This window comes from Homo sapiens, chromosome 21 (assembly GCF_000001405.40).
Source record: "Homo sapiens chromosome 21, GRCh38.p14 Primary Assembly".
NCBI lineage: Eukaryota > Metazoa > Chordata > Mammalia > Primates > Hominidae > Homo > Homo sapiens.
Genome location: NC_000021.9, coordinates 14,108,559 through 14,136,538, shown reverse-complemented (window position 1 = coordinate 14,136,538; position 27,980 = coordinate 14,108,559). Strand labels below are relative to the sequence as shown.

The following is a 27,980-nucleotide window of genomic DNA, read 5'->3' as shown; positions in this document are numbered from 1 at the left end:
GCTGGCACTCAAATTACAAGACACAGTCATTCCCCCTCTTCCCTCCCCTTTCCAAAGACAGGGGAGCCTCACCCCATAGGCACCACCACCCTTGGACAGAAGAAGTACTGCCAGACTACCAGTGATTTTCCCTTAAGTCCCAATTTCTCTTAAGACAGCTGGTGGTGAATGCTAACTAGCCTGGGACTCACCATTTAGGGCAGTGGGCTCCCTCTGGATCAGGGCAGGTCCAGAAATGCCATCCAAGAATCAAGTCCTGGAATTGTGAACCCCACGAGCCCACTTGGTGCTCTACCCTCCTGTAGCAGTTTTGTCCCTGAAGCCAGCAAATCTCTGAGGCTCGCCAAGGCCCTCCATGCAGTACCTGGGTATTGCTGCTGGTTATTCAGGGCCCAAGGGCTCTTCAGTTAGCAGGTGATGAATGCTGTCAGGACTGGGTTCTTTCCTCAAAGGCAGTGGGGTTCCTTCTGGGCCAGGGCATGTCTAGAAATGTTTTCTAGGAGCTAGAGCCTGGAACAGGGGAGACGGGGCCTTAGGACTCTGACTGTTGCCTTATCGTGTTGTGGCTGAGCTGCTATGCTAGATGCAAGACAAAGTCCTCCCCACCTTTACCTCTCCTTCCTTCAAGTGGGAAGAAGGGGTCTTTTTTTGGAGCCACGAGTTGTGCAGCCTGAGGTTAGGGAAGGGGTAATGCCAGTACTCCCTTAACTTCCCTAACTGATGTCTCAGTATGTGACATGGCCCCTCAATCTATTGCCTCTGGGCCTAGTTCAGCCCTAGGACTCACCTACAAGTTGCAGTCCTGAAGGCCTAGACTGCCTTTCAAGCTTACTTAGAGGCAAAGAGTACTTTGGGCCTCAGTGGCCAGGTTTCTTGACACTAAAGTTTAGGCTACTGGGATTGCTGATTCCCCTGTGGCAAGGCCTGGTTTAAATACTCCCTCCGTGGGCTGGTGTCAACTGAGTTTGATCTGGTTTTTCCTTTTGCTCTAACAGAACAGCACAGAATTCAATGCCTCTCAATTGCTGTGTTCTCCTTCCCCTAGCACCCAGAGAGGGTCTCTGCACCATGCCGCCACTCCTGGGGATGGGGGAGGAGTGGTGTCAGTGACTCAGAGCTGATTTTTCTATCTCCTCAATTCCTCTTTTAGTGATATGAAGTTAAAACTAGGTACTATGAGTGCTCATCTGATTTTTTGGTTATGAAGGTGTTTTTTTCCGTGTAGATACTTGTTAACTTGATGTCTTTGCAGTGGGGAATAGTGGAGCTTTCTATTCCACCATCTTGCCCTGCCTCCCAAAATCCCACTGTGCTTTTAATTTGCATTTCTCTGATGATTAGTGATGTCAACTGTTTTCTCATATATTTCTTGGTTGCTTGTATGTCTTCTTTACAAAAATGTATGTTCATGTCCTCGCCCACTTTTTAATTGGATTATTATTTTGCTTTTTGAGCTGTTTGAGTTACTTATAGATTCTGAGTATTAACCCATTGTCAGGTGCATAGTTTGCATATAATTTTTTTCCCATCCTGTAAGTTTTCTGTTTACTCGGTTGATTGTTTCTTTTTTGTGTAGAAGCTTTTTAGTTTAATTAAGTCCCATTTGTCTATTTTTGTTTCTTTGCATTTGCTTTTGAGGATTTGACCATATATTCTTTGCCAATGGCCAGAAGAGGTTTTCCTAGGTTTTCTTCTAAGATTTTTTTTAATAGTTTCTGGTCTTATGTTTATGTGTTCAATTTATCTCGAATTAACCTTTGTATATGGTGGGAGACAGGGGTCCAGTTTCATTATTCTGCCTATGGCTATTCAATTTTCCTACTACTATTTATTGAATTGGCTGTCCTTTTATCAGTGTGTTATTTTGTTGACTTTGTTGGAGATCAGTTGGTTGTAGGGTATGGCTTTATTACTGTGTTCTCTATTCTGTTCCATTGATCTGTGTGTCTATTTTTATACCAGTACCATGCTGTTTTGGCTACTCTAGCCTTGTAGTATAATTTGAAGTTAGGTAATATGATGCCTCCAACTTTGTTCTTTTTGCTTAGGATTGCTTTGGTTATTTGGGCTCTCTTCTGATTCCATACGAATTTTAGATTTTTTTTCTAATTCTATAAAAATGACTTTGGTAATCCAATAGAAATTGTATTGAATCTATAGATTGCTTTGGGCAGTATGGTCATTTTAATGATACTGATTTTTCCAATCCACGAGCACGGGCCATTTTCCATTTGTTTGTGTCATCTATGATTTCTCTCATCAGTAATTTGTTGTTATCCTTACAGAGTTTTGTTTTTGTTTTGTTTTTTTGACAGAATCTCATTCTATCATCCAGGCTGAAGTATACTGGCATGATCACAGTTCACTACAGCCTTGACTTCTTGGGCCCAAGTGATCCTCCCACCTCAGCCTCCCAAGTAGCTGGGACCACAGGCATGCACCACCATGCCTGACTATTTTTTTTAAAATTATTTTTGTAGAAATGGGTTGTCCCTATGTTGCCCAGGCTGATCTTGAACTCTGGAGCTCAAGCAATCCTCCAGCTTCAGCCTCCCAAGGAGCTCACAGCCTCCCACAGTGGCAAGCCACTGTGCTTGGCCAAGTGATGATTTACCTCCTTGATTAACTATATTCCTAAGTATTTTAATGTGTTGTAGCATTGCAAAATGAAATTGTCTTTTTAACTTTGTCCTTGGCTAGATCATTATTGATGTATAGAAACACTACTGGTTTTTGTATGGTAATTTTGTATGCTGAAACTTTTCTGAATTCACTTATTAAATTTAAGAGTTTTTTTGGTGGAGTCTTTAGGGTTTTCAAGATATAAGCATATATCATCAGCAAACAGAGATAATTTTACTTCCTCTTTTCCAATTTGTGTGCCTTTTATTTTGTTGTCTTGGTTGATTTATCTGGGGTGAGAACTTACAGTACTGCGTTGAATAAGAGTGGTGAAAGTGAACTTCCTTATATTTTTCCAATTTTTAAAGGAAATGCTTTCAACTTTTCCCCATTAAGTTTGATGCTGGCTGTGAGTCTGTCATTTATTGTCTTTATTATGTGAGGTATGTTCCTTCTATGTCTAGTTTGTTGAGAATTTTTCTCGTGAAAAGATGTGGAATTTTATCAAATGCTTTTTCTAGATCTATTGAGATGATGTCTTTCATTCTGCTTATGTGATATGTCATAGTTATTAATTTGCACATGTGGAACTATCCTTGCATCCCTGCAATAAATCCCACATGATCACAGTGTATTATTTTTTTAATGTGCTATGGCATTTGATTTGCTATTTTTTGCATCTATTTTCTTCAGGAATATTAATCTGTAGTTTTGTTGTGTCTTTATCTGGTTTTCATATGAGGGTGATACTGGCCTCTTAGAATGAGTTAGAAAGAATAGAATTCCTTCCTCCTCAATTTTTGGAGTTGTTTCATGAGGATATGTATTAGTTTCTTGTGTGTTTGGTAGAATTTGGTTGTGAATCCATCTGGTCCTGGGCATTTTTTGTTGTTGTTGTTGTTGTGAGATTTTATTGTTGATTCAATCTTGCTACTCATTTTTGGTCTGTTGAGGTGTTTTATTTCTTCTAGGTTCAGTCTTGGGAGGTTGTATGTTTCTAGAAGTTTACTCCCTTCCTCTAGGTTTCCTAGTTTGTGAGCACATAGTTGTTAATAATAGTCTCTCAAGATCTTTTGTATTTCTGTGGTGTCAGTTGTAATATCCCTTTTTTCTTTACAGATTGTGTTTATTTGGATCTTCTCTGTTTTTGGTTAGCCTAGCTAGTGGTTTATCAATTTTATTTATCTTTTTGAAGAACTTTGTGGTTTTATGAGATTCTGTAGTGTTGCCATTTTATTCCTGTATCTTCTTCCTTTGTGTGAGTGTTTTATAAGAACTGTGAGTTTTATATTTTTGTGTTTTTGTGATGGTGAATATTGACTTTTTGTTTCCATGTTTAGGATCCCTTTGAGCATTTCCTGTAGGACTTGTTAATTGGTGAAAAATTTTCTTTGCATTTGCTTGTCTGGGAAATACTTTATTTCTCCTTCATTTATGCAGCTTATTCTGGAAGGATATAAATATTTTGGCCAAAACTTTTTTGTGTGTGTGTGTTTTCAGCACTTTGAAAATGTCATTCAATTATCTTCTGGCTCATAAGGTTTCTGCTAAAAAGTCTGTTGTTATTCTGATGGGGCTTCCTTTATAGGTGACTAGATACATTTCATTTGCTAATTTAAAAATTCTTTCAGTTTGCCTTTAGACCTCCTAAAGGTAATATGCCACAGTGATGTACTATTTGCAGTGTATTTGCCTGGGAAATAGTGGGACTCCTGTATTTGCATGTCTGACTCTCCTGTTAGATTGAGAAGTTTTTATCCACTTTCCTTAAGTAGTTTTTCTAAGCTTTGTGATCTCTCCTCCTTCTTTGGAATACCAATAATTAATACGTTTGGTCACTTCATGTAGTAAAAGATGTTAAAGGCTTTGTTTTTTTGTTTGTTTATTTGCTTGTTTTTTGCCCGACTGGATTATTTTTAAAAACGTATCTTTGAGTTCTGAGATTCTTTCTTCTTCTTGGTCTAATTTATTGTTGAAGCTTATTGAAGCTTTTGGATGTATTTTGTATTTCCTTCAGTGAAATTTTTACTTCTAGAATTTATGCTTTTTTTCTTTCAAGAAACTTTGTAAATTTCTCATTAATATCCTGAATTGATTTTCTGATGTCTTTGTATGAGTCTTCAGATTTCTCTTACATCTCATTGAGCTTCTTTAAATTCTATATTTTGAATTATTTACCTGGCACTTTGAGGAATTCTTTCTGGTTGGGATCTATTGCTTGAGTACTGTTGCGGTCCCTTGGTGGTGTCATATTTCCCTGCTTTTTCATGTTTCTGTGTCCTTCTACTGATATCTACACATCTGGTGTAGCAGTCACTTGTTTCAGTTTTTTAAAGTGCTTCTATAGGGGAGAATTTTTTCCTAAAGATGTTTGTAGATTGTTGGTTGAGTAGGATATATTGGTTTTGATTTTGGGTGCCTGTGATAGTATAATTTTGTATGACTTCTTCAGCAGTACACAGAGTCTGTATTAACTGTGATTTCCTCAGTGACTTAAGGTAGTTATTAGTTGATGTTGTGGCAAAGTTTTGATGGGGACTTGGATGCTAACTGAACCAGGCTTCAGACCCCAGTGGTGGCAGAGTGGGGTAAATGTGCCTGTTTTTAGGCCCCAGAACAGCCTATACTGGCCCCAGTGCTAGTTGGTCCTGGAGGGATGATTTTGGGGCCTCCAAGTAGCTTGTTTAAGTTAGTAGTGGGTCACTTTGGGAGGCCGAGGTGGGTGGATCATGAGATCAGGGGATCGAGACCATCCTGGCTAACATGATGAAACCCCATCTCTACTAAAAATACAAAAAATTAGCCGGGTGTGGTGGCAGGCGCCTGTAGTCCCAGCCACTCAGGAGGCTGAGGCAGGAGAGTGGCATGAACCTGGGAGGCAGAGCTTGCAGTGAGCTGAGATCGTGCCACTGCACTCCAGCCTGGTTGACAGAGCAAGACTCCGTCTCAAAACGAAACAAAACAACAACAACAAAAAAGTTAGTAGTGGGAGTGGTGAGCCAGCTGTGTGGGAAGGCTCTCAGATCTCTGGGTAGCATGTGGATGATGAGTGGTGGTGGAGCAATGCACTGGGACACAACTGGTCCATGTTGGTGTTCCTGGTGGCTGTGTTGGGTGGGGCAGGCTAGACCTCAGTCCCACAGCTGCTGGCATTAGGGGAGTAGTTATTGTCCTAAGTGTGCTTAGAAGAGCTTGATCTCTCCATCCCTCCTCTGGCTGGTTGGCAGCTGCAGCTGCATCTCCTCAAACTTGGCCCAAGGGTCAGGCACAGCATATCACTAAACTCTCAAAATGATGCTAGGTGTGGGCTTGTGACCAGAGAGGGCGGTGCTCCACTCAGGTGTGCTGAATGAGCAAGAAACTGTGGGCAGTGCAGTCTGTTCAAGTCTTGGTCTGTCAGCAGCCCATAGCATGGTAGTGGGTATTATCCTAGATATACAGAGCAGAGAGAGCCTGGTTTCCTCATCCTTCCTTGGCGAGGTGGTGGTGGTAGCAATGTCAACTTGAACTTGGTCCAAGGGCAGGGCACAGATGCTAAAATCTTTCACATTTCACTTTTGTCTCTCTCTCTCTCTCTTAGACAGAGTCTTGCACTGTTGCCTGGGCTGGAGTGCAATAGCACAATCTCGGCTCACTGCAACTTCCGCATCCAGGGTTCACACGATTCTCCTGCCTCAGCCTCCCAAACAGCTGGGGTTACAGGTGCACACCCCCACACCTGGCTATCTTTCACTTTTTCTCTTAAACATTATGGCTAAACTTTGGGAGAATATGGGGACTGGGACTCTAGAACTCTGAAGAGTGTCTAAAAGTAGCAATTTTTTAAAAACTAACTTTACAATTTTACAAAGTTTGTTGATCCATCCTAAAATGTTTCCTCCACTGTCACTCTCCACCACCCCCTCTCCAATTTTTCCTTGGTCCTCAAATGATGCTGTCCAGGTTCAGAGAAATGTTGAGAAGTGATACAAATAAGGAACAGGAACTTCAAACAAAATCAACAGTGAGAGTACCATATGTATGTTTTTCTATGTTGTGTGAGTTGTGCCTCACTTGAGAAGAATCAAATTGTTTAAGGAAGGTGAGAAATAAGCTTTTTTTTTTTTTAAAAAAAAAAACAATTAGAGTCATTATTGAACAAATAGATTATTATACTTAGGTTTTTTTAAAAATCAGCATTTTACCTATCATATTAAGGAATATTTTAATTCACAATCGACTTTTAAAATTGTTATTTTTTTCTTTTTTCTGACTTCATTCTTCCATGACATCAAACTGTTTTTATTAATTTTTTTCTGCAGTTATATTACATAAGAATTTTAAAATACAAATAATTAAAATAAATGATTCTCTCTTTAGTTTGCCTAGAAGTTGTTATGACATAATTCTAGGTGGTAATTGTATAATTGGGTACACATCTTAAGAATTTTTTAGTTTGAAATCCTGAAAATTACAACACATATTTTCACTAACTGTTGTGGGACACAATTATAGTTATTACCTAGGTATTCAATAATCAATACACATCTTAACAAAATTTGATTAAGATATATTACAAATATATATAAATGCATTCAATAATTCTTATTCATAAAATGGTTGCTTTTCTTTCTATATTTGTCTCGCCATTCTGTACATTTATTTTTAGTGGTATAATATATGTAAAGTGTTTAGTTAATATTAGGTGCTAAATCATTTCTTCTCATTTTCTTCCCTTCCCTGATTGGTCCCCAATTTGACTTTCATTATGCCTTCTCTTATCTATAAATACACAGCTCAATGAACAGGCTGACCACGTCATAATTATATAAAACATACTTGTCTATTTTGTTGAAATATTTAATCAACAAAATTCCTTATTCCAAATACTTCTGTGAAACTATGTCTCCTTCTCTAACTATATAAATACTCCTAGATTCTTGGAAAATTTGTATTATTACTACTTTCTAAACATCTTGTTCAAACTCTTTATTCACTTCTGCTACCATTCTCACTCTGAGAACTATAATGATCAATACTCTCACCCAGGGCGTTGTTAAGGATATAGGAAGGCTCTGATCACAGTTGACTAAGAAAGTTAGATAATAAAATCTGCATTGATTGCAATTTTATCTCTGAAAGTAGAATTTATCTTTAGAGTTATCTGCCCCAAAGTGAATTTAATTATTTCCTATAGAGAACTAATATGTAAGCAAGGAATTTTCAGTTTTCTCCAACATGCATGCTTTGGATGACACACTTAAGATATATCGTGTACCTAAGATTGATGATTTCTTTGACTATTTAGGCATCTTTAAGGATATATCCTTGATAATTATTTTATATTAGTGAACTGCTTTCTAGATGAGTAACAGTGGAAACATTTAATTGGTGTCTACTACATTACAAATGCTATTTTTTCAGTCCTTGCAACAAATCTATGAGGTATCCTCTCTATTAGTTTAAGAAATAGAAATCCAGAGTTGATACACAGGCTACCTAAGGTTTCTCAGCTCAGAAGCACCTTTGCAATGACTTGAAACTAAAATCTTTCTTGGAGTTTTTAATTTGTCCTTGTTTTATTTTTCTTTTGTTTTTAGTTATTACTAGTTTAAAAATAACAGCTTTTTCAATAAGAAATATAGTCAATTATTCCCATTGTGGAAGATTTGGAAATTTTAATTCATATGTAATTCTGCAACTATGAGATAGTAATTGTTAATATTTTGTTATATTTACTCATAAACACATATGTTACAGTTGAAACATGCATTTAATTTTTTACATTATATGACACAGTGTCTGTGTGTATACATCATTCAGCCTACACTGCAGTATCTTCAAGTCTCATTATTTACATAAAAAACAAGGTGAACACAACGTTATTGGTTCTATGTTATATCATGAACTGGGTTGTAAGCATTTTTTTTCCCTAAGTTAATGGCTACTTTGTATTCTATCTTTTGTGGATTATTAAATTTAGTGTCCTTTATTATTGGATCCTTCATTTTTCCCCAAAGTTTGTTTTATCATAAATAGTTAATATCTATACATATGTAACTATCTTCATTTTAGACAATTTCATTTTTATATATGCTTAGAAGAGACGTCAAGGAGGAGGAACATTTTTAAATCTTCTATCTCAGGTTATGATATTTACACCTTAGTACAGAATGTTGGTGAGCACACAACCATTGTTCTCTGCATACATTTCTTTTTCTTAGCCACTTATTATAAAGGAAAGGGAAAAGACAAACAGGTCTGTCCATATTTTATTTATCTCACTGTCTTCTTAATCATTTTTACATAGAGAAATATTATATTTTACTTATTCATGTGTTAGGTAAAAAATAGGGTGAAGTCATTAGGATATGCAACAGAGCAAAAGAAAACAGAACAAGTATGCAATTTTAACTTTTATGTAAAATTTAAACATGGATAAACTATGAAAATTTATTAAATGTATGAAATCTGGATGCAATTGTTTCTACTCTGGGGAAAAAATACTAAAATACATTTTGTGGTTGTTGAGCAAAACTCTCTACATTCCCTGCTGGCTGGAGATGCTAACACATGTTTGGATCAATGTATGCTTAAGTTTAATTACCTAGGTAATTGCTGAAACCATCTATTTGCTTTTCCTATTTAGATCTGTCCATACAGATAATGTGCAATTAGTGAGATTTAATACTGCCAAATTATTGGGAATGTGAGTTATAAAAATGTGATGCCTTATGGTCCAGATTAAACTATGCATGCAGTCAACAAGTAATTATCTTTTTGTAACAGACTGTGATAGAGACAACAGCAGAGCTCTCCTTCTAGGTGCTTCCAGTAGAGTAGGACCTCAGACCTTAGGGCTGAGAGGGATTATGCACGACAGAGGTGACTTCAGATGACTTCTAGAAAATGTTGTGCTAAAGCTACTTTCAAAAATTTTATGTAACAGTAAAACTTATTCTTTTGTTGTATAGTTCTATGGATTTTCATACATACAAAGAGTTATATAATCACCACCCCAATCAAAATTTACATTTTCATCAATCATAAAAACTTCCTGATGCTGCTTTTTGGGTTTCAAGTCCACCTGCTGGCAACCACTGTGCCCAAGTTTGACTTCTCCAGACATATACATAGAATTAGAGTTGCTCCTCAGTATCTGTGGCAGATTGGTTTCAGGAACCCTGTGTATACAAAAATCCACAGGTCCTCAAGTACTGATATAAAAGTATGTACTATTTACATATAGTTTATGCATATCCTCTCTTAAACCTTATCTGTAGATTACTTACAGTATTTAATACAATATAAATGATATATAAATAGTTGCTATACTAAATTATTTAGGGGATAATGACAAGGAAAAAAGTCTGTACATGTTCAATACAGGCACAACCATCTATTTTTCCCCCAAATATTTTTGATCTGCTATTGGTTGAATCCATGGATGTAGAATCCATAGATACAGAGGGTTGACTGTGTAGCATGAGGTCTTTTAAATATTGTTTATTTCACTTAACCATATACATATAAAATTTATCTATGTTGTTACTTATGTCAATGGCATGTTATTATGAATAGTATTCTATTGTATAGATATGCCACAGTTTGTTTATTCATCCACCAGTAAGAGGACATATGGTTTGCTTGCAGTTTTTGATGTTTATAATAATGCTGCTGTTAATATTGGACATGTAGGTGTTTAAGTAAACATAAGTTTTCATTTGTCTTGGATAGATATTTAGAATTGGAATATCTGGGTCATATGGTAAATGTGAGTTGAACTTTATAAGAAACTGCCAGTCTCTTTTCCAAAGTGACTGTACAGTTTGCATTCCTACCAGCAAAATGTAAGAGCTCCACGTTCTCCTAAACCCAAACTGCACCTTCACCAGCCTTTTTTTTTTAAATGTTTGATTTTCATTTTATCTTTTCTAGTAGGTGTGTAGAGGTATCTCATTTTTCTTAAAATTTCCATGTCTCAAATGAAAAATGATGATGATCTCTGCCATTTAATTGAGGATATTTACATCTTTTAATTTAATGTCACTACTGATATAGTTGGGTTTAAAACTATCATCTTGGCCTGGCGCGGTGGCTCACATCTGTTAACCCAGCACTTTGGGAGGCGGAGGCGGGCGGATCACGAGGTCAGATGGAGACCATCCTGGCTAACATGGTGAAGACCTGTCTCTACTAAAAACACAAAAAAATTACGTAGGCATTGTGGCACATGCCTGTAGTCCTAGCTACCCGGTAGGCTGAGGCAGGAGAATCACTTGAACCTGGGAGGCAGAGGTTGCAGTGAGCAGAGATCGCGCCACTGCTCTCCAGGCTGGGTGACAGAGTGAGGCTCTATGTCAAAGCAAAGCCAAGCAAAACAAAACAAAACAAAACACTATCATCTTGCTGTTTTGTTTTCTGTTCGGTCCATCTGTCCTTTGTTCCGTTTTTCCTCATCGTCTGCCTTTTTGGATGAACCAAGTAGTTTCATGATTAAATTTTATCTCTTTTGTCAGTTTGCTAATTATTATTCTTTTATTATTTTAGTGATTTATTTAGGGTTTATAACTTTATTACAGTCTAACTTCATGTAAGTTTTACCACTTCACATAGAAGATGAGAACTTTACAATAGTATACTTACATTTCTCTTATCCCAGGTTTTGTGCTGTTCTATTAAAGAGATATAAATAATTAAGTAAAAGCTTATTTATTTACCCACAGAGTCACCATTTCTAGTGCTTTTCAAACTCTTATGCATGTGTGTATTTTCATCTGGTATAATTTAACTTCAGATTGAAGGAGCTTCTCAAACTTTTTTGTAGTATAGTGCTGGTAGTGAATTTTTCAACATTTAGTGTCTAAAAATGTCTTCAAGTTATCTTCATTTTGAAAGATAATTTCTCTGGGTATATAATTCTAGTTTGACATTTTTTTTTTTCGAGGTGGAGTTTCACTCTTGTTGCAGGCTGGAGTGCAATGACATGATCTTGGCTCACCGCAACCTCCACCTCCCGGGTTCAAGCAATTCTCCTGCCTCAGCGTCCTGAGTAGCTGGGATTACAGGCATGTGCGTGCCACCACGCCTGGCTAATTTTTGTATTTTTAGCAGAGATGGGGTTTCACTGTTGCAGGACAATCAGAGATAAGAGAGACCGAACAGAGTTCAGGAAAGGTCTTTATTAAAAGATGATCACCTGGCTTAGTTGGACTAGTGTCCAGAAAAGTCTGAGCCCCGGACAAAGAAAGCAGCCACCTTTTAAGCTGTCAGTGTCCGGGAGCTACTTGATGCAGGAAGCGTACTTAGGCAGTTGATCAGTCTTTTACATTTATTTATACTACATGTTACACATACCTGGGAAACCATGTTTCTGTATCAACCTTGTAACTTTGCAGCTGCCCTAGAGAGGTGAAGCAGGAACTCACTGAGCCTCAAGGAATGTGAAACTAGCAAGTACAGATAAGGCTCGCTGAGCACAGAAGGAAAAACAGGCAGTTAGTATTCTACCGGGGCGGGGTCGGGGGAGGTGGGTGAGGTTGCTACACTACACTTAGCTTTTGAAGGAAAAAGTAAAAATGTCTTGTCTTTGATTATACTTGTAAAATTCATGAATTCTTTCTTCATCTCCCCCTTTGGTGCTCGCTATAAATGTAGATTAATAAAGAGCACCATAATCGTTTATCTCTTCCTGTGTAGGCACATATTCTTCCCAGGGGATCGGTTGGTATTTTTGTAGCACCATCATTTTGGTGGTAGTTTTTCGGTCCACTATTGCTTCAATAGTAGACTGGATGCTTCTGAAGAGGAGAGGTAAAAGACAAGGCAGTATTAGACATCCTCCAATTATAGCTACAAAACCAATTATCAAAGTTTTAAAGCCTCCAAACCATGAGAACCATCCTCCAAAAAGTGAGTTTGGGCTCCACCTGGACCAAGTCTGGACTGGGACATGGGCCAACCTCCGCATTCTGGCAGTAATTTCCATAACAGCTCTTCTATTATCATTGATTTGTGAGGAACAGTTGGTTAAATTAAGCTTGCCACAAACTCCTCCTGAGGCCAGGAGGTAGTCTAATGCTAGCCTATTTTGGTATATAGTGTCTCTCATTTGAGTGGCTTGTATGGCTAACAGATCCACGGCTCGAGCTGTCTTATTGACTATGATCTCTAGTACTGCTTTGCAATCTTATAATTTGGTTTCACATGTAAATAGGGGTGCGGTAGACTCATGATCCATCTTGGGCCCACTTAGCTGGCCCATAGCATTTGATAATTCTTTCAGGAGGCCATTTGTTATCTTTCCAGCTACCTATCTTAATGTCCTTCTTTATGTTTGTGTTTATCTTTTCTACAGTACTTATCTGAGTAAAGATGTTTCTTCTGGTCCTTTTTCTTTCTTCATTATAGACTGGGTAACTTAAATCTTCCCTTGTTTTGGTGGGAGCAAGAGGAAGGATGGTCTTATTGTCCCTAACACACAGGCTCCAGTCCACTTCTCGGGCAATAGTTGGTAGGCTTTTGTCTTACAGATCCAATATAGTCCTGATGGTGCTCTCCAAACATTTGTAGTGTCTAGTTGATACCACAACTGATTCAGCGCTGGAAACTGAGAGAGAGGGTTAAAATCTGATACAGAGGAATTGTCTATGAAGCTTCTCCACTGTGTCTTGTTCTTAGACTCTTCAAAATATTGCTGATCTAAACAGGTTGTATCTCCTACGGGAGTCTGAAAGTCTTTTCCTATCATGCTATGCAGTATCTTCCAATGATAGGGGTTTTTAATAGACAGACACTTGGATATACATTGAACCTTGTAACAAATTCCAGTATGGTGAAGTTATCTTGTGGCATTAGTTTTCTAGCCTCCCAGGGCCATTGGTTACTTATACTGGTACTTTCATATACATAACATGAGGTGACTCAAAGATTAGTAGCAATACTTTCAGCTAGCTGAGTAAATAGGTTCTTGGCTGACATTGGTGGAATCTGAACTTTTGGATCCTTGGGGTTAAAATGTTTATTGAAGGATCTGAAAAATCTGAACTGTGACATTGGACTGACTTGAACTTTAGCTCATTGAGTCTTTTTAATAATGACCAATGAAACACCTAGGTTTGCTCTTTCTTGATCAAAGCTTAGCTCTCCTTGATGTCCTTTAGTCCAAAAAGGTATGTTTGGCTTTAATATGGTCAAATTAAGGGGGTTGCATGTGTTAGTCACACAACCAATCTTTGCTTTTTGGCTGGCAAGCAGAGCTACTCCCCCTGTATATAGGTGTTGGCTGAATTCATGTGTGGTCCGTTGAAAGTTACAATCAGGACATTCTTCTTCTGGTTCTTCTATTATGATCTTAGCAGCCTTACTGCTGACTCTTTCTTGTCCTAAGTTCTTGCAGACTTCTCCTGGATTAGGTTGCTGAGGTGTGCAGCCTGACAGGCATCAAAATATATAGAAACTGATTCTTTATGTGAATAAGGTAATACCCGTGTTTTGCTTATGAGTTTCCCAGTTCCAACGTTATTAGGATTGGCATATGTGGGTAACAAAGGTTTCCCTATTTGAATTTCAAACCAAAAGTTGTAGGGTAGGAGGCCTAGATCATAACATACTTGAGGTTGCCCATGACTTGGGTCATAGACAGAGTAGCTGGTTTGATTATAAACACATGTCCCCAGGGGATTCCTGTACACTAATAATAAGTTTGATATAACAGGGTTTTTGTTATACCTTTACCAAACCAAGCTTCTATCATATAATGATGACAATTATCTTGGTTTCCTCCCGTGCCTGTTAGCATTATTGTCACTACTGTGATCAAGTTTACACTATGCACAGGCATCCTCCTGGGCAACAAGTTTGATAGCAATTGCAAAGATAGCATGACAGCAAAACAATCAGTATAAGCAATAGTATAACTACACTTGCAAATTTAATCCACATTTACTTATCTAGCACCAACTTCCTCAGGCTTCAGCCATGCGTAGACTAGTCAGCTTCCTGTTGTGTGACTAGAGCAGGGCTTGACGTTTCCTCAAGCTTCATCAGTGCATTTACCAACCAGCCTCTGGTGTGGTTGGGGCAGGGCAGTCATCTTTTTCTGCTGTGCCTTGGTTCCTCCGCAAGATCAGTCGAGTTGGATGATCTGGATCTTGCTGACTTGTCCACTGGTCTTGAACTGAGGCTGCAGGTTTGTCGGCTGTGATGGATCCAAGGTGTAATACTTGCAACTTTAACAGTGGTAGGGGTAGACATGATTACAATATGGGGGCCATCCCATAAGGGCCCGAGGGTGGTAGGATTCCAGCGTTTAACCCACACAGAGTCAGCAGGTTTAAAGGGATGTATTGCATCTGTAAGGCTAACAGGTATTGTTTCTCTTACCCACCCTTGTACTTCTTGTATTACCTCACCTAATGCCTGCATTTGTCTTCTTAGGGTCAGTTCTCCAATTTCCTTTAAATTTCCTTTTACCTGAGATATAAGTGCAGTTGGTCGGCTGTACACTATCTCATAGGGTGAATACCCGTTTAATGTAGTAGGGGTACACCTGACTCAGAGAAGGACCATGGGTAATACCTGATCCCATCTTAAATGAGTCTCTTGGCAAAACTTCTTCAACAGTTGTTTCGGTGTCTTGTTCATTCTCTCAACCTTTCCAGAACTTTGTGGTTGATAGGCTGTATGCAGTTTTCATTTAATCTATAAGATCTGAGTCAGTTGCTGTACTACTTCTGCTACAAAAGCTGGTCTGTTGTCCGAGCCTAAAGGTAGAGGCATTCTAAATCTAAGAATAATATCTTTTAATAATATCCTGGTTATTTCTCATGCCTTTTCTGTCCTGGTGGGGAATGCCTTGATCCACCCTGAAAAGGTGCAAACACTAATATGTACTGACAGCCTCCAGCCTGAGGCAGTTTGGTAAAGTTTACAAGCAGGTTTTCACATGGCACTGCTCCTGTTTCCTGAATTCCTGGGGTCTGAGTAGGCCCTTTCCTTAGGTTATTCTGGATGCAAGTAACACACTGCTCACAGATGGCTCGAGTGATGGCAGTTAGGCATGGCACATAGAAATATTGCCCTACGAGAATTTCTAAAGCTGTCTTCCCCATGTGTGTTCCTTGGTGAAACTGCATTATAAATTGGGGGGCAATGGCTTCTGGAATGGCACGCCTCCCCATCTGAAAACTTCCACCAGCCTCCTTTTTGATAACACCCATTTTCCTGTGTGAACCACACCTTCTCACTGGATGAGTAGTTAGGAGTCTCTGCAAGGGGAGGCTCTAATGAGGGCATAACATAAGTCTCTTCTTTCTTTGTTATTTCTGTCATTGCAGCCCTTTTCACTTCTTTGTCTGCTTTTCTGTTTCCTGTAGTCTCATCACTTCCTCCTGTTTGATGTCCCTTACAGTGGAAGACTGCTACTTCCTTTGGAGCCCATACAGCCTCTAGGACCTGCCCTATTTCCTTTTTGTTCTTTATTTCCTTTCCTTCAGTAGTTAACAGTTCTCTTTCTTTGTAAATGGCTCCATGAGCATGCAAGGTGGCAAAAGCATATCTTGAGTCAGTATAGATATTCGCTGACTTTCTCTTTGCTAGAAGTAGTGCTCTTGTGAGAGCTATTCTGCCTTCTGTGCTGAGGTTCCTACCGCTAGGGGGCGGGCCTTGGCCACCGAGCTTAATGTGACTATGGCAAATCTGGCCTTTTTGACACCCTTGGATATGAAGCTGCTTCCATCAGTAAAATATTCAACATCTGGGTCTTTTAAGGGTTGATCCTTTAAGTCTTTCTGGCTTGAAAAGACTTCATCCACTGTTTCTACACAGCAGTGGTACCCTGGGGCACATAACGGGGGCTTCCCATGTTCCACATATTCTATTGGTAACAGTGTGGCTGGATTTAGGGTATTCACAGTCTCTAAGGTGATGTATGTATTCTCACATAGGAGCCCTTGATATCTTAGCATCTTAGGGTTAGAGAGCCAATGATGTCCTCTCTGTTCCGTCAGGGTGACAACTGTGTGGGGCACCTGAATTATCAGCTTCTGTCCAAATGTGAGCTTGTTAGCATCCTCGGCTAACAAGGCAGTGGCGGCCAGTTCCTTGAAACAGGGTGGCCATCCCTTAGCCACAAAGTCTAGTTGCTTGGACAAATATGCTACAGGCCAATACCATGACCCTAGCATTTGCACTAAGACTACTGTAGCCATTTCTTTTCTTTCATGAACATACAGGTAAAAGGCCTTTGTCATGTCTGGCAGCCCTAGTGCTGGTGCCTGAATTAAAGCTTTCTTGATTTCCTTGAAAGCCATATCCTGTTCTTTTCCCCAAAGGAGGGGCTCCTTTCCCTGCCCTTTCATCGCCTCATATAAAGGTTTTGCTAGGAGTGAGTAGTTGGGGATCCATATACGGGAGAAACCAGCTGCCCCTAGGAATTCCCGCACTTGCCGCCTTGTGTCTGGCTGAGGAATGCTACAGACAGTCTCCTTTTGCTCCCACCCAAGCTCATGCTGCCCTTGAGAGATGTAAAAGCCAAGATACTGAACTCCTTGGCCACAGATCTGTGCCTTTTCCTTGGACACTTTATAGCCAGCTTTCCACAGCGCTCAAAGGAGACTCTCTGTTCCTTGCATACATTCCTTTCTGGTGGGTGTAGCTAGTAACAAATCATCTATGTATGGCAGTAAGATACATGGGTCGCTAGGTGGAGTGAAAGCCTTTAAGTCTGAGGCTAGTGCTTCTTCAAAGATAGTTGGGGAGTTTTTAAATCCTTGGAGAAGTCTAGTCCAGGTATACTGAGATGGGCCCAATCAAAGGCAAAAATGTCTCGGCTTACAGGGGCTAATTGGATGCAGAAGAATGCATCTTTTATGTGTAAGCATGTGAACCAAGCAGCACTAGCAGGTATTTGTGCAAGCATAGCGTACAGGTTAGGCACAATAGCATGCAGTGTAGCCACCACCTCGTTGATTGCCTTTAAGGCTTGTATAGGCCAGTAGTCACCAGAAAGTTTTAACACCAGCAATAGGGGAGCATTCCATGAGGAGACACATCTCTCTATTATTCCAAATTCAAGGAGCCATTTTAAGTGTTTTGCAATCCCTTGGTTAACCTCTGTGGGAATGGGATACTGACAGATCTGCACCAGGTAGGTTCCTTGTAGTAGTTCTACTATGACAGGTGCTTGATTCACTACCAGCCCCGGGGGACTGTCCTCTGCCCAGACTCCTGATAACTTAAGAAGTAAGTCTGTGAATAGTTTTTCTCTTTCAGCCACACTATATCTTCTTCCATACTCCTGGCAACTACTTTCATGAAGTCTCCATTCATCTGTTTTGGGGATTGTGAGTGTTAATACCATAACCTTTCTTTGCCTTAGGCTTAAGGTCCTATCTCCACTTGGTGTAAAGGAGATCTGAGCCTGCAGTTTTGTAGTAAGTCTCTTCCTAATAGTGGCACTGGGCAGTTTGGCAAATATAAGAACTTACGTTGGACTTTTCGGTCTCCAGTCATACATCTCTTTCATTTGAAAAAAGGTGTCTTTTCTGTGATAACTGTGGCTCTGATAATATTAGCATAGTCTTTTGATAACGGCCCAATTTTTTGAGTCACAACCGAGTGTTCAGCACCTGTGTCTACCATAAAGTCTATTTTTCAGCGCCCTACTACAATTGAGACCATAGGCTCCTTGGGGCCTAATGAGATGGAGCCCGATCTGTCTCAGTCTTCAAGGTAGTCATTGGCTTCTGCCAGCCCAATTAGATCCACGTCAGATCTTACTATGCCTTGCCCAGTGACGGAAGGGGGCTCTGTCCAGTCATTCTGTCTCTGGTTGTTGCCCTTGTCCTATTCTTTCTCTGGACATTCATCTTTCCAATGCCCTCTTTGCTTGCATCTCACACATTGATCTCTCTCTAGTCTAGGCTGACCTTCCTGACCTGTCCTGGTCTCCTGATCTGGCCTAGCTTGTCCTCTACTGTGACCACATCCATGACACATTCATGTCCTCTTGCAAATCCAGCCTCTCTTTCAACCAGGGCTGTGGCCAAGAACTCTGCCTTTTCCTTCACTCTACGCTTGGCCTCCCACTTTGCTTTTTCATCTCAATTTACAAACACTTTGGTTGCCACCTGGATAAGCTGGGGAATGTTCATACCTTCAAACCCCTCCAGCCTCTGCAACTTTTGCTTAATATCATTTTGTGCTTCACTCATGAATGCTGCATTAACCATGCACTGATTCCCTGCCACTTCTGGGTCAAAAGGTGTGTAGAGTCAGTAAGCCTCACAAGGCCTCTCTTAGAACTCACTGGGGCTTTCATCTGGTTTCTAATGAACCTCTGAAACCTTTCCAGTGTTTGTTGCCTTTTTCCCTCCAGCCTTTATTCCTTGTATCAGAGCCTCTCAGTATCTCAGAAAGTTTAGCAGCCCTTGGGCCTGATTTCAGTCCCAGCCTGGATCAGTTTCTATTGGTAAAGTCTGTTGTGCATACTCTTTGACATCTGCCATGCCTACTGGGGTGTTGCTTTCTAGCCACTGATTAGCCACTTGTATTACTCTGCAGCGTTCTTCTGTATTGAACAGTGACAGAAGGAGCTGCTTGCAGGTCAGCCCAGGTTGGGCTGTGAGTTAAGAAGATGGACAGCATTAGGTCAATAAGAGCCTGGGGTTTTTCCGTATAGGAGGGAGTATGCTGTTTACAGTTGAAAATGTCTGTAGTAGAGAAGGGCTTATAAAGATAAAGCTGTTCTCCTCCTTGAACCTCATTTTGTGCATCTAAATAGATCTGTCCTCTAGTTTCTCTGAGGGGCATCTGCATGGCTTGGGTGTGTCCTGACCAGGGACGGCCAACCTCATCCTGGAGTTCCTCCTTTGATTTATCAAGCAGTGGGCCTGGCTCTTCCTTATGTGGTGAAGTTTGGGGGGTACTCTCCTCTGAGTCCAACCCTCTGGAGGCAGCTGCTGGAGTGGCTTCCCGCCTAAGCCTTGCCAGAGATGGATAAATTAGAACATAAGGGGATGGAGTCTCTAGCTCCTCTGGCGGGGCCTGTAGGACAGGCTTTTCCTGTTGTCCTTGCTACTCTTTCTCCTGGGCCTGCACTTTGTGGGTCTTTTCTATTGTTCTTTGTTTTGTTCGAGCCACTAGAGTCTTACAATAATCTTCAAAGCAGGCCTGTAGCCATTTTGGACGGGTCTGAATCACGTTCAGCCAGGAGTCTATGTATGGGAACTGATCAGGGTACCCAGGCTGTTGTCTGACCCCAGTGACCACCCAAAACACTTGGCCAATTATTTCCATATCTATGGTTCCCTCAGCTGGCCACCCTACATTAGAGGGCCAGTCAATTTCAAAAAGGGTTCTTAGCCTCTGCGGTCTTAACTTCATTCCATAATCACCATCAAAGCCTTTCTTAAAGTTCTTCAACATACATTCTAATGGAGTCGGCTTCAATGCTTTTTCTCCAATTTCCTCCCTCACAGCACACTTTCACTCTCACTTTCACTCTCAGATTCACCAGACCGGGTCCTATTACAGGAGGTTTGGGTGCTGCTTGGCCAGGTCACACCCAACTACTGCTGTGAAGCTATGAAACTAATCCTGTCGGCCTTACGCACTGACCTAGGTCTGGCTCATCCCACACTCGCCTCGGAGGACACAGTCTGCACTAAGAGATCTGCACCTCCCCACATCACTCCCCACATTGGCCTCTCCTGAGACCATCTCTTTCACACACTGTCACACACCTCCCCTGCCCTAGGACTCCTCATCAGATGAAACGAGCCTCTCTCATGTCCCAGATGAGCCTAGTTAGGCTCCCACATTCACACACATACACACACCACTCCTACCCCAGGACTCCTCATCAGGTGAAATGAGTCTCTCTTGTGTCCCAGGTAGGTTCACACACACCCACACACTCCCACACACTCCCAGTTGGGGTGGCAAACCACTCTTGTCACCCTGCCAGCAAGCTCTACCTTGCTGCACTTGCCACTCTTCCAGCCCATTTTCTCCCTTTTTCCAGTGTGAGTGGGGACACGAGGTTCATCAAAATTGGCAAGCCACTCCTGCTGCACCCAGCTACTCTGGGTTGGATAAGTGGTCGTTCCCTGGGAGGTGATCAAGCTCCCCTTCTGTCCTTATGGGACAGGCTTCCCTAGGGACCAACCTTACCTTGGTTCAGTAGTCTGCCTGCGCACTGCTCTGTGACTCTCCTGCAACTCCTGAGTCGGTTCCGTTTGCACTGTCAAGGGAAGGCTCCAAGACACGGGAAAACCGTTCTCCTTCTGGGCTGTGTTACTCAGTGGTGCCAAGAGTCCCAAATCTCCCACGTCCTGGGGCTCTAACCCATAGGCAAAGGAGACAGAAACCTACAATCTCCAATCCCAGATGAGCCCCCAGAAATGTTGTGGGGCAATCAGAGATAAGAGAGATCGAACAGAGTTCAGGAAAGGTCTTTATTAAAAGGTGATCACCTGGCTCAGTTGGACTAGTGTCCAGAAAAGTCTGAGCCCCGGACAAAGAAAGCAGCCACCTTTTAAGCTGTCAGTGGCCGGGAGCTATGTGATGCAGGAAGCCTACTTACAGAAGCGAGAAAAAAGGCAGTTGATCAGTCTTTTACATTTATTTATGCTATATGTTCCACATCCCTGGGAAACTATGTTTCTGTATCAACCTTGTAACTTTGCAGCTGCACTAGGGAGGTGAAGCAGGAACTCGCTGAGCCTCAAGGAATATGAAATTAGCAAGTAGGTAAGGCTTGCTGAGCACAGAAGGAAAAACAGGTAGTTAGTATTCTTCTCTAACTTAGACTATGGGGGGTGGGGAGCGGGGTGCGGAGGTTGCTATACTAAGCTTTTGAAGGAAAAAGTAAAAATGTCTTGGTTGTCTTTGATTATACTTGTAAAATTCATGAATTCCTTCTTCACCACCATGTTGGTCAGGCTGGTCTATCAATTCTTTAAGGATGTTGTTTTGCCATCTTCTACCATGCACTGAACCTAAAGAGAAATATGTTGCTATCCTTTCTTTGTTGCCCCAAAGATAATCTACTTTTCTTCTTGGCTGGTTTTAAGATTTTTCTCTTTGTCACTGATTTTGAGCAATTTGATTATGATGTACCATGCTGTAATTTTCTTCATACTTCTTGTATTTTGAAGTTTGTTGGCTTTCTTGGACCTGTGGGTGACATGGTTTGGCGATGTCCCCACCCAAATCTAGTTTCTCTGAGGGGAATCTGCATGACTCAGGCATGTCCTGACCAAAGACCGCCAACCTTATCCTGGAGTTCCTCTTTGATTTATCGGGCAGTGGTCATGGCTCTTCCCTACATGTTGAAGTTTCGGGGATACTCTCCTCTGAGTCCGACCCTCCAGAGGCAGCTGCTGGAGTGGCTTCCTGCCTAAGCCTTGCCAGAGAAGGGTAAATTGGAACATAAGGGGGTGGAGTCTCTAGCTCCTCTGGCAGGGCCTGTAGGACAGGTTTTTCCTGTTTTCCTTGCTGCTCTTTCTCCTGGGCCTGCACTTTGTGGGTCTTTTCTATGGTCCCTTGTTTTGTTAGAGCCACTGGAGTCTTACAATAATCTTCAAAACAGGCCTGTAGCCATTTTGGGTGGGTCTGATTGTAGTTCCCATAATCCCCACATGTCATGAGAGGGACCTGGTGGAGATAATTGAATAATTGATTCATTGTGGTGGTTCCCCCATCCTGTTCCTGTGATAGTTAGTTCCCATGAGATCAGAACTTTTTTTTTTTTTTTTGAGACAGAGTCTTGCCCTGTTGCCCAGGCTGGAGTGCAGTGGCATGATCTTGGCTTGCTGCAACCTCTGCCTCCCGGGTTGAAGTGATTCTCCTGCCTCACCCTCCCAAGTAGCTGGGACTACAGGTGCATGCCACCACGCCTGGCTAATTTTTTGTAGAGACAGGGTTTCACCATGTTAGCCAGGATGGTCTCAATCTGCTGACCTCATGATCCACCTGCCTTGGCCTCCCAAGGTGTTGGGATTACAGGTGTGAGCCACTGAGCCCGGCCAAGATCTGAAAGTTTTTTAAGGGGCTTCCCCTTCGCTGGGCACTCATTCTCTCTCCTTCTGCCCTGTGAAGATGTGCCTTCTGCCATGATTGTTAAGTTTCCTGAGGCCTTCCAAGCCATGCTGAACTGTGAGTCAATTACACCTCTTTCCTTTATAAATTACCCAGTCTTGGGCAGTTCTTTATAGCAGTGTGAGAACAGACTAATACAGTGGGTTTATAGTTTTCATCAAGTTTCATCTAAATTTCCAGCTATTTTTTTGAGATTTTTTTTCTGTGTTCCTCTACTACTTCTCCTCTGAGGATTCCAATTTTAAGTATTTTTGGCTACTTGAAGTAAGATCTAATATTTGATAGTACAACAGTGTGATGATAGCTTTGGTAATTTTAAAATTCTATTTTCTCTTTGCATTTTATTTTGAATAGTTTCTGTTGCTATGTTATCAAGTTCACTGATTTTTTCTGCAATATCTAATCTGCTTTTAATCTCATAAGTGTATTATTCATCTCAAACATCGTAGTTCTCACCTCTTTATATCTCTCATGTCTCCACTTCACTTTTGAAGATCTGAAATAAAGGTATAATAACTGTTTTAATGCATTTATCTGCTGAGTCTCACATTTGTGCTAGTTCTGGGTTAGTTTCAATTGGTTGATTTTTCACCTCATATGGGTCCATTTTCCAGCTTCACAATGCTTAGTAATTCTCAATTAGATCACAGATGCTGTGAATTTTATCTTATTGAATGTTCTATATTTTTGTATTCCTACAAATGCTCTTAAATTCTATTCTCAAAATACTGTTATGTTACTGGGGTTAAACCTTTCAGGTCCTGCTTTCAAAATTTATTAAGCTAGCTTGGATAAGTGCTCAGTCTAGGTGTAATGATTCCCACTACTTAGAGAAGACCCTTCTATGTGCCTTATCGAGTGGACTATGAATTGGGTTTTCTCACATGGCAGGTGGAAATAGGCACTATTCTTTTCCCTGTGTTATTGCTGGAAACCTTATCCAAGTAACATTTTAAAAGAATATTAGGAATAAGTTACATTGCAGGAAACAAAATCAATATACAAGAATTAGTAGTTTTTCTTTTTTAATATATTTTAAATGCTTATTTATATTTATGAAAAGATTCATAATATATTGCCTGGTGAGAAAAGCATGATGTCTTATAAGAGTATGATTCCATTTTTAAAAACAAAATGCATGAATATGTATAAATATTAATATAACATTCTCAAAGATAGCTTTGAAAATGCAATATAGCAAAGTATCTGAAAAATAAGAACACAATTGTATTTACAATAGCTATAAAATGATAAAATACCTAGGAATAAATTTAATCAAAAAGGTAAACAATTCTTACACAGAAAACTGTAAAACATTGATGAAATAAATTGAAGAAGACACAAATAAATGAAAGATATCCCATGTTTGTAGCTTGGAGGGGTTAATATTGTTAAAAATGTCCATAACAACCAAAGGGATCTACAGATTTAATGAAATCTCTATCAAAATACCAATGACATTCTCCATTGAAATAGAAAAAAAACCTTAAAATTTGTATGAAACCACAAAATACTTTAAATAGCTAAAGCAATTTTGAGCAAAAAGAACAAAGCTAGAGACATCACACCAAATAACTTCAAAATATATTAGAAAGCTATAGTAACCAAAGTAGTATAATACTGGCATAAAAACAGAGACATGGACCAATGGAACAGAACAGAGAGCCTAGAAATAAAATAAATTCACCCATTTAAAAATTAATTTTCAACAAAGGTTCCAAGAGCACACAATGGAGAAAGGACAGTCTCTTCAATAAATAGTGTTGGAGTGGGTAACCATGGAAATACAGAGGGAAATAATCAATACCAGGATTCTAAAAGAGATTAGTGTGGGAGAGGGATGCGAATTGAAAAATTACCTATTGAGTACAACATTCACTATTCGGGTGATTGGGTACACAGGAAGCCCAAACTTCATCACTACACAATATATTCTTGTAACAAACCTGCACATGTACCCCCTGAATCTATTTTAAAAAAACAAAACAAAATGAAAATAAATGGTGTTGGAAAAACTGTATAGTCACATGCCAAAGAATAAAATTAGACCTTTATGTCACACCTTATACAAAAAATTCAACTCCAAATGGACTAAAGACTAAAATCTAAGGCTTGAAACTATAAACTTGCTAGAAGAAAATATAAGGAACATCTTCTTGACATCAGTCTGGACAATGATATTTTGGATATGACCTCAAAAGCACAGGCAACAAATGCAAAAATAGACAAATGGGATTACATTAAACTAAAAAGCTTATGCTCATCAAAGGAAATAATTAACAGAGGTAAGAGACAATCTACAGAATGGGAGAAATTATTTGCAAAGTATATATATGATAAGGGGTGAATCTCCAAGATATATAAGGAACTCAAACAACTCAATATCAAGAAAACAAATAACCTAATTAAAAATTGGGCAAAGGATCTGAAAACACATTTTTCAAAAGAAGACATACAAGTGGCCAACAGGTATATGAAAATGTGTTCAATGTCACTAACCATGAGGGAAACGCAAATTAAAACCACAATGAGCTATCACCTCATGACTGTTAGAATGGCTATTACCATAAAGACAAAAGTTATAACAAATGTTGGTGAGAACATGGAAAAAAGGGAATGGTTGATAACTACTGATAAGAATGTAAATTAGAAAAGTTGTTAGGAAAAACAGTTTGGAAATTCCTAAAAACATTAAAAATAGAACTAATATATGATTCAGCAATCCCACTACTGGGTGTATATCAAAGGAAATGAAATCAGTATGTTGAAGAGATATCTGCACTTCCATGTTAATTACAGCATTAGTCACTATAACCAAGATAAAAAATAAAACTAAGATTTCAATAGTGGATGAAGCTGTAAGAAAAATATAATATGTATATTATATATATATAGTATATGGTATATACTATATATATTAAAAATATAGTATGCATATATATATCACCTATATATAGAGAGAGATAGATGATAGATAGATAGAGATCTATAAATTGGAATACTATTCAGACATAATAAAGAAGGAAATCCCATCATTGGCAACAGCATGAATGAACCTGAAGGACATTATGTTAAGTATAATAAGCCAGGCACACAAAGACAAAGACTGTAGGATTTCACTCACATGTGGAATCTAAAAAAGTTGATCTCATAGAAGCAGAGAGTAGAACCATGGTTACCAGAGGCTGGGCAGTTGGGAGGGGAAGGTGTTAAGGAGATGTTGGTCAAAGGATAGAAAATTACAGTTAGATAGAAGGAATGAGTTCAAGAGATTTATTGTGCAGCATGGTGACCACAGTTAATAACAAAATATTATATTCCTGAAAAATGCAGAGTAGATGTTGAATGCTTTTGTTGCAAAATAACTATATGAGGTAATGTGTATTTTAATTAACTATATTTAACCATTCCACAATGTATTTATTCTTCAAAACACCATGTACATAATGAATACATAGAATTTTATGAATTTAAAATAAACAAATAAATAAAAAAATGAAGTCAAATTTAGGGGCCTCTATATTAATGGCAAAAAAAAGAGAATATTAAATGGACAGATGTGGTGATAGGTTGAGCAAAAGCCTTAGGGAGATTTTTCAAGTAAAGAAGCTTATATATTTTTTGTACTTTGGTATAATATATATGGATTAAAATAGAAAACTGGATTGTACTTGAATTCATAAAAAATTTTTATTACTATATTTCTTTTTTATTATTTTAGATCAATCTTATACTTTATCAATGTAATGTGTTCATTTTTGGTAATGTGTGGTAAGCAAAGCATTAGAAGTACAAATTCAGTATGCATTTTGAAATTAGAAAGATAGATACATAATATTCTTTTCCCTTGGTAATTCAAAATGTATCACAAAATTATAGTGTTTTTATTTTTTATTGCCTGGGAGAAGGAACTATTAAACATAAGATAAAAAAGATATCAAAATTCATGACAGTGATAACTAGATGAACTTTTACAATGTAAAAGGACAGCAAATTAATTTTTCTCAAAGGCTTTGGTAAAATTTAACATTGATAGGCATTGTGAACCTGCCTAAGCTGTTTTGTGATGCTTGTAGAGGCTTTGTAAAATATAGGATATTTGCAAAAATATGTATTTACTATATATGCACTAATAGAAGATAATTCAATGCTATGCTACTAAGGTCATGAGCTTTTAGTCTATTGCAGAAAAAAGAAAACACACTTGTCTTACTATTTTATTATAAATATGTGAACAGTGCTGCAGTGACTTGGCTTCTTGGAAAGCTTGAAATATTAAATATAAAATCTGTCCAAGATATAGAATACTTTAGGATTTATTATTTCCATTTTAGTAGGTGGCATAAGAGGACTGATTAAATTGCTTCGGCAAACTTTGTCTATGTGATTCACCCTGACTCTCTTCTGGTGACCATCATGATGGAAGGAATGGCCTGGATACTGAGTTGAGTTCAAGTTTCAACTGTATCAGTATCTAACTGTATCTCTAATACAATTAAGTTTTCCAATAAAGCAGTGAGAAAAGAAGTTGAAACAGATTTTTTTCTTTCTTATAAGCATTATGTCTATTTCATCCCTACACAGCCAAATGAGATAGAATGGAAATGATCCCATATATTTGTTCCAACTCCCTACATTTAGAGAACTAGCTAGTTACAGGCATGGACTATTCTAATATTAATGAGAGAAGGAAATCAACTCTGTTGTTTTACTAATAGTTATTTTTTTGTTCTCTCCATTTTTCTCTTTCTCAGACCACCACTTTGCAGGTATAATATTGTACTTAAAGACAGAGAGGAAGTGTTTCTTAATCCAAACACATGTACACCAAAGAACACATAAGATGCCTTCTTCCATCAAATGCACTTGCTTGTGAATTAATGGACTTGTAAATGAAACAATGCAATCAGTCTTTTATAATGCACTGTTCAATTTGAGATTCAAGTATTTCTATTTCTTGGAAAAAATTTTAAGAATCAAAAATAAAGAAAATAAAAAATGCATACAGTTAAACATTCCAAATATATTCTGAAAGTTGTTTATTTCTGTTTACTTTTTCTGCTTCCTCAATTTAATACTTATCATTGACTGTTTACCTTAATTATTTATTAATAATGAATAAATGCCTTTTGAAAAATAGGCAAGTTTAGTGAATACTTCAATTCACTGTTTTCAACAGAACCATTCTACCTCAGTAGTAAAATAAATGAACACACTATTTTATTTGTAAATTTTCATTTGGAGAAGTCACTTGTATTAATGTGAACCTAGTAAAC

General features: G+C 39.0%; 1 protein-coding gene and 1 pseudogene across 7 annotated transcripts in view, besides 2 other annotated features; one reads left to right on the top strand and one right to left on the bottom strand.

Annotated features, from left to right (window-relative positions):
• LIPI (lipase I) overlaps positions 1-27,727 on the top strand; it is a 102,144-nt gene extending 74,417 nt beyond the window's left edge. For 6 of the 7 annotated variants that reach the window (NM_001379566.1, NM_001302999.2, NM_001379565.1 and 3 more), the window contains one exon: positions 27,459-27,726. In NM_001379566.1, the coding sequence (NP_001366495.1) occupies positions 27,459-27,546 (88 nt within the window). In that variant the 3' untranslated portion in view covers positions 27,547-27,726. Of the gene's footprint in view, positions 1-27,458 lie in introns of all 7 variants that reach the window. The other variant, NM_198996.4, reaches the window with a different exon arrangement.
• Positions 1-27,980, bottom strand: part of ERLEC1P1 (endoplasmic reticulum lectin 1 pseudogene 1) — a 65,494-nt pseudogene that overhangs the window by 7,929 nt on the left and 29,585 nt on the right.
• Positions 16,063-16,112: an enhancer, noted in NCBI's record as "active region_18269". NCBI's record gives its function as "activates an Ori minimal core promoter by ATAC-STARR-seq in GM12878 lymphoblastoid cells {active_cell/tissue: GM12878}" and the evidence as "EXISTENCE:reporter gene assay evidence [ECO:0000049][PMID:35858748]".
• Positions 20,000-20,149: an enhancer, noted in NCBI's record as "active region_18268". NCBI's record gives its function as "activates an Ori minimal core promoter by ATAC-STARR-seq in GM12878 lymphoblastoid cells {active_cell/tissue: GM12878}" and the evidence as "EXISTENCE:reporter gene assay evidence [ECO:0000049][PMID:35858748]".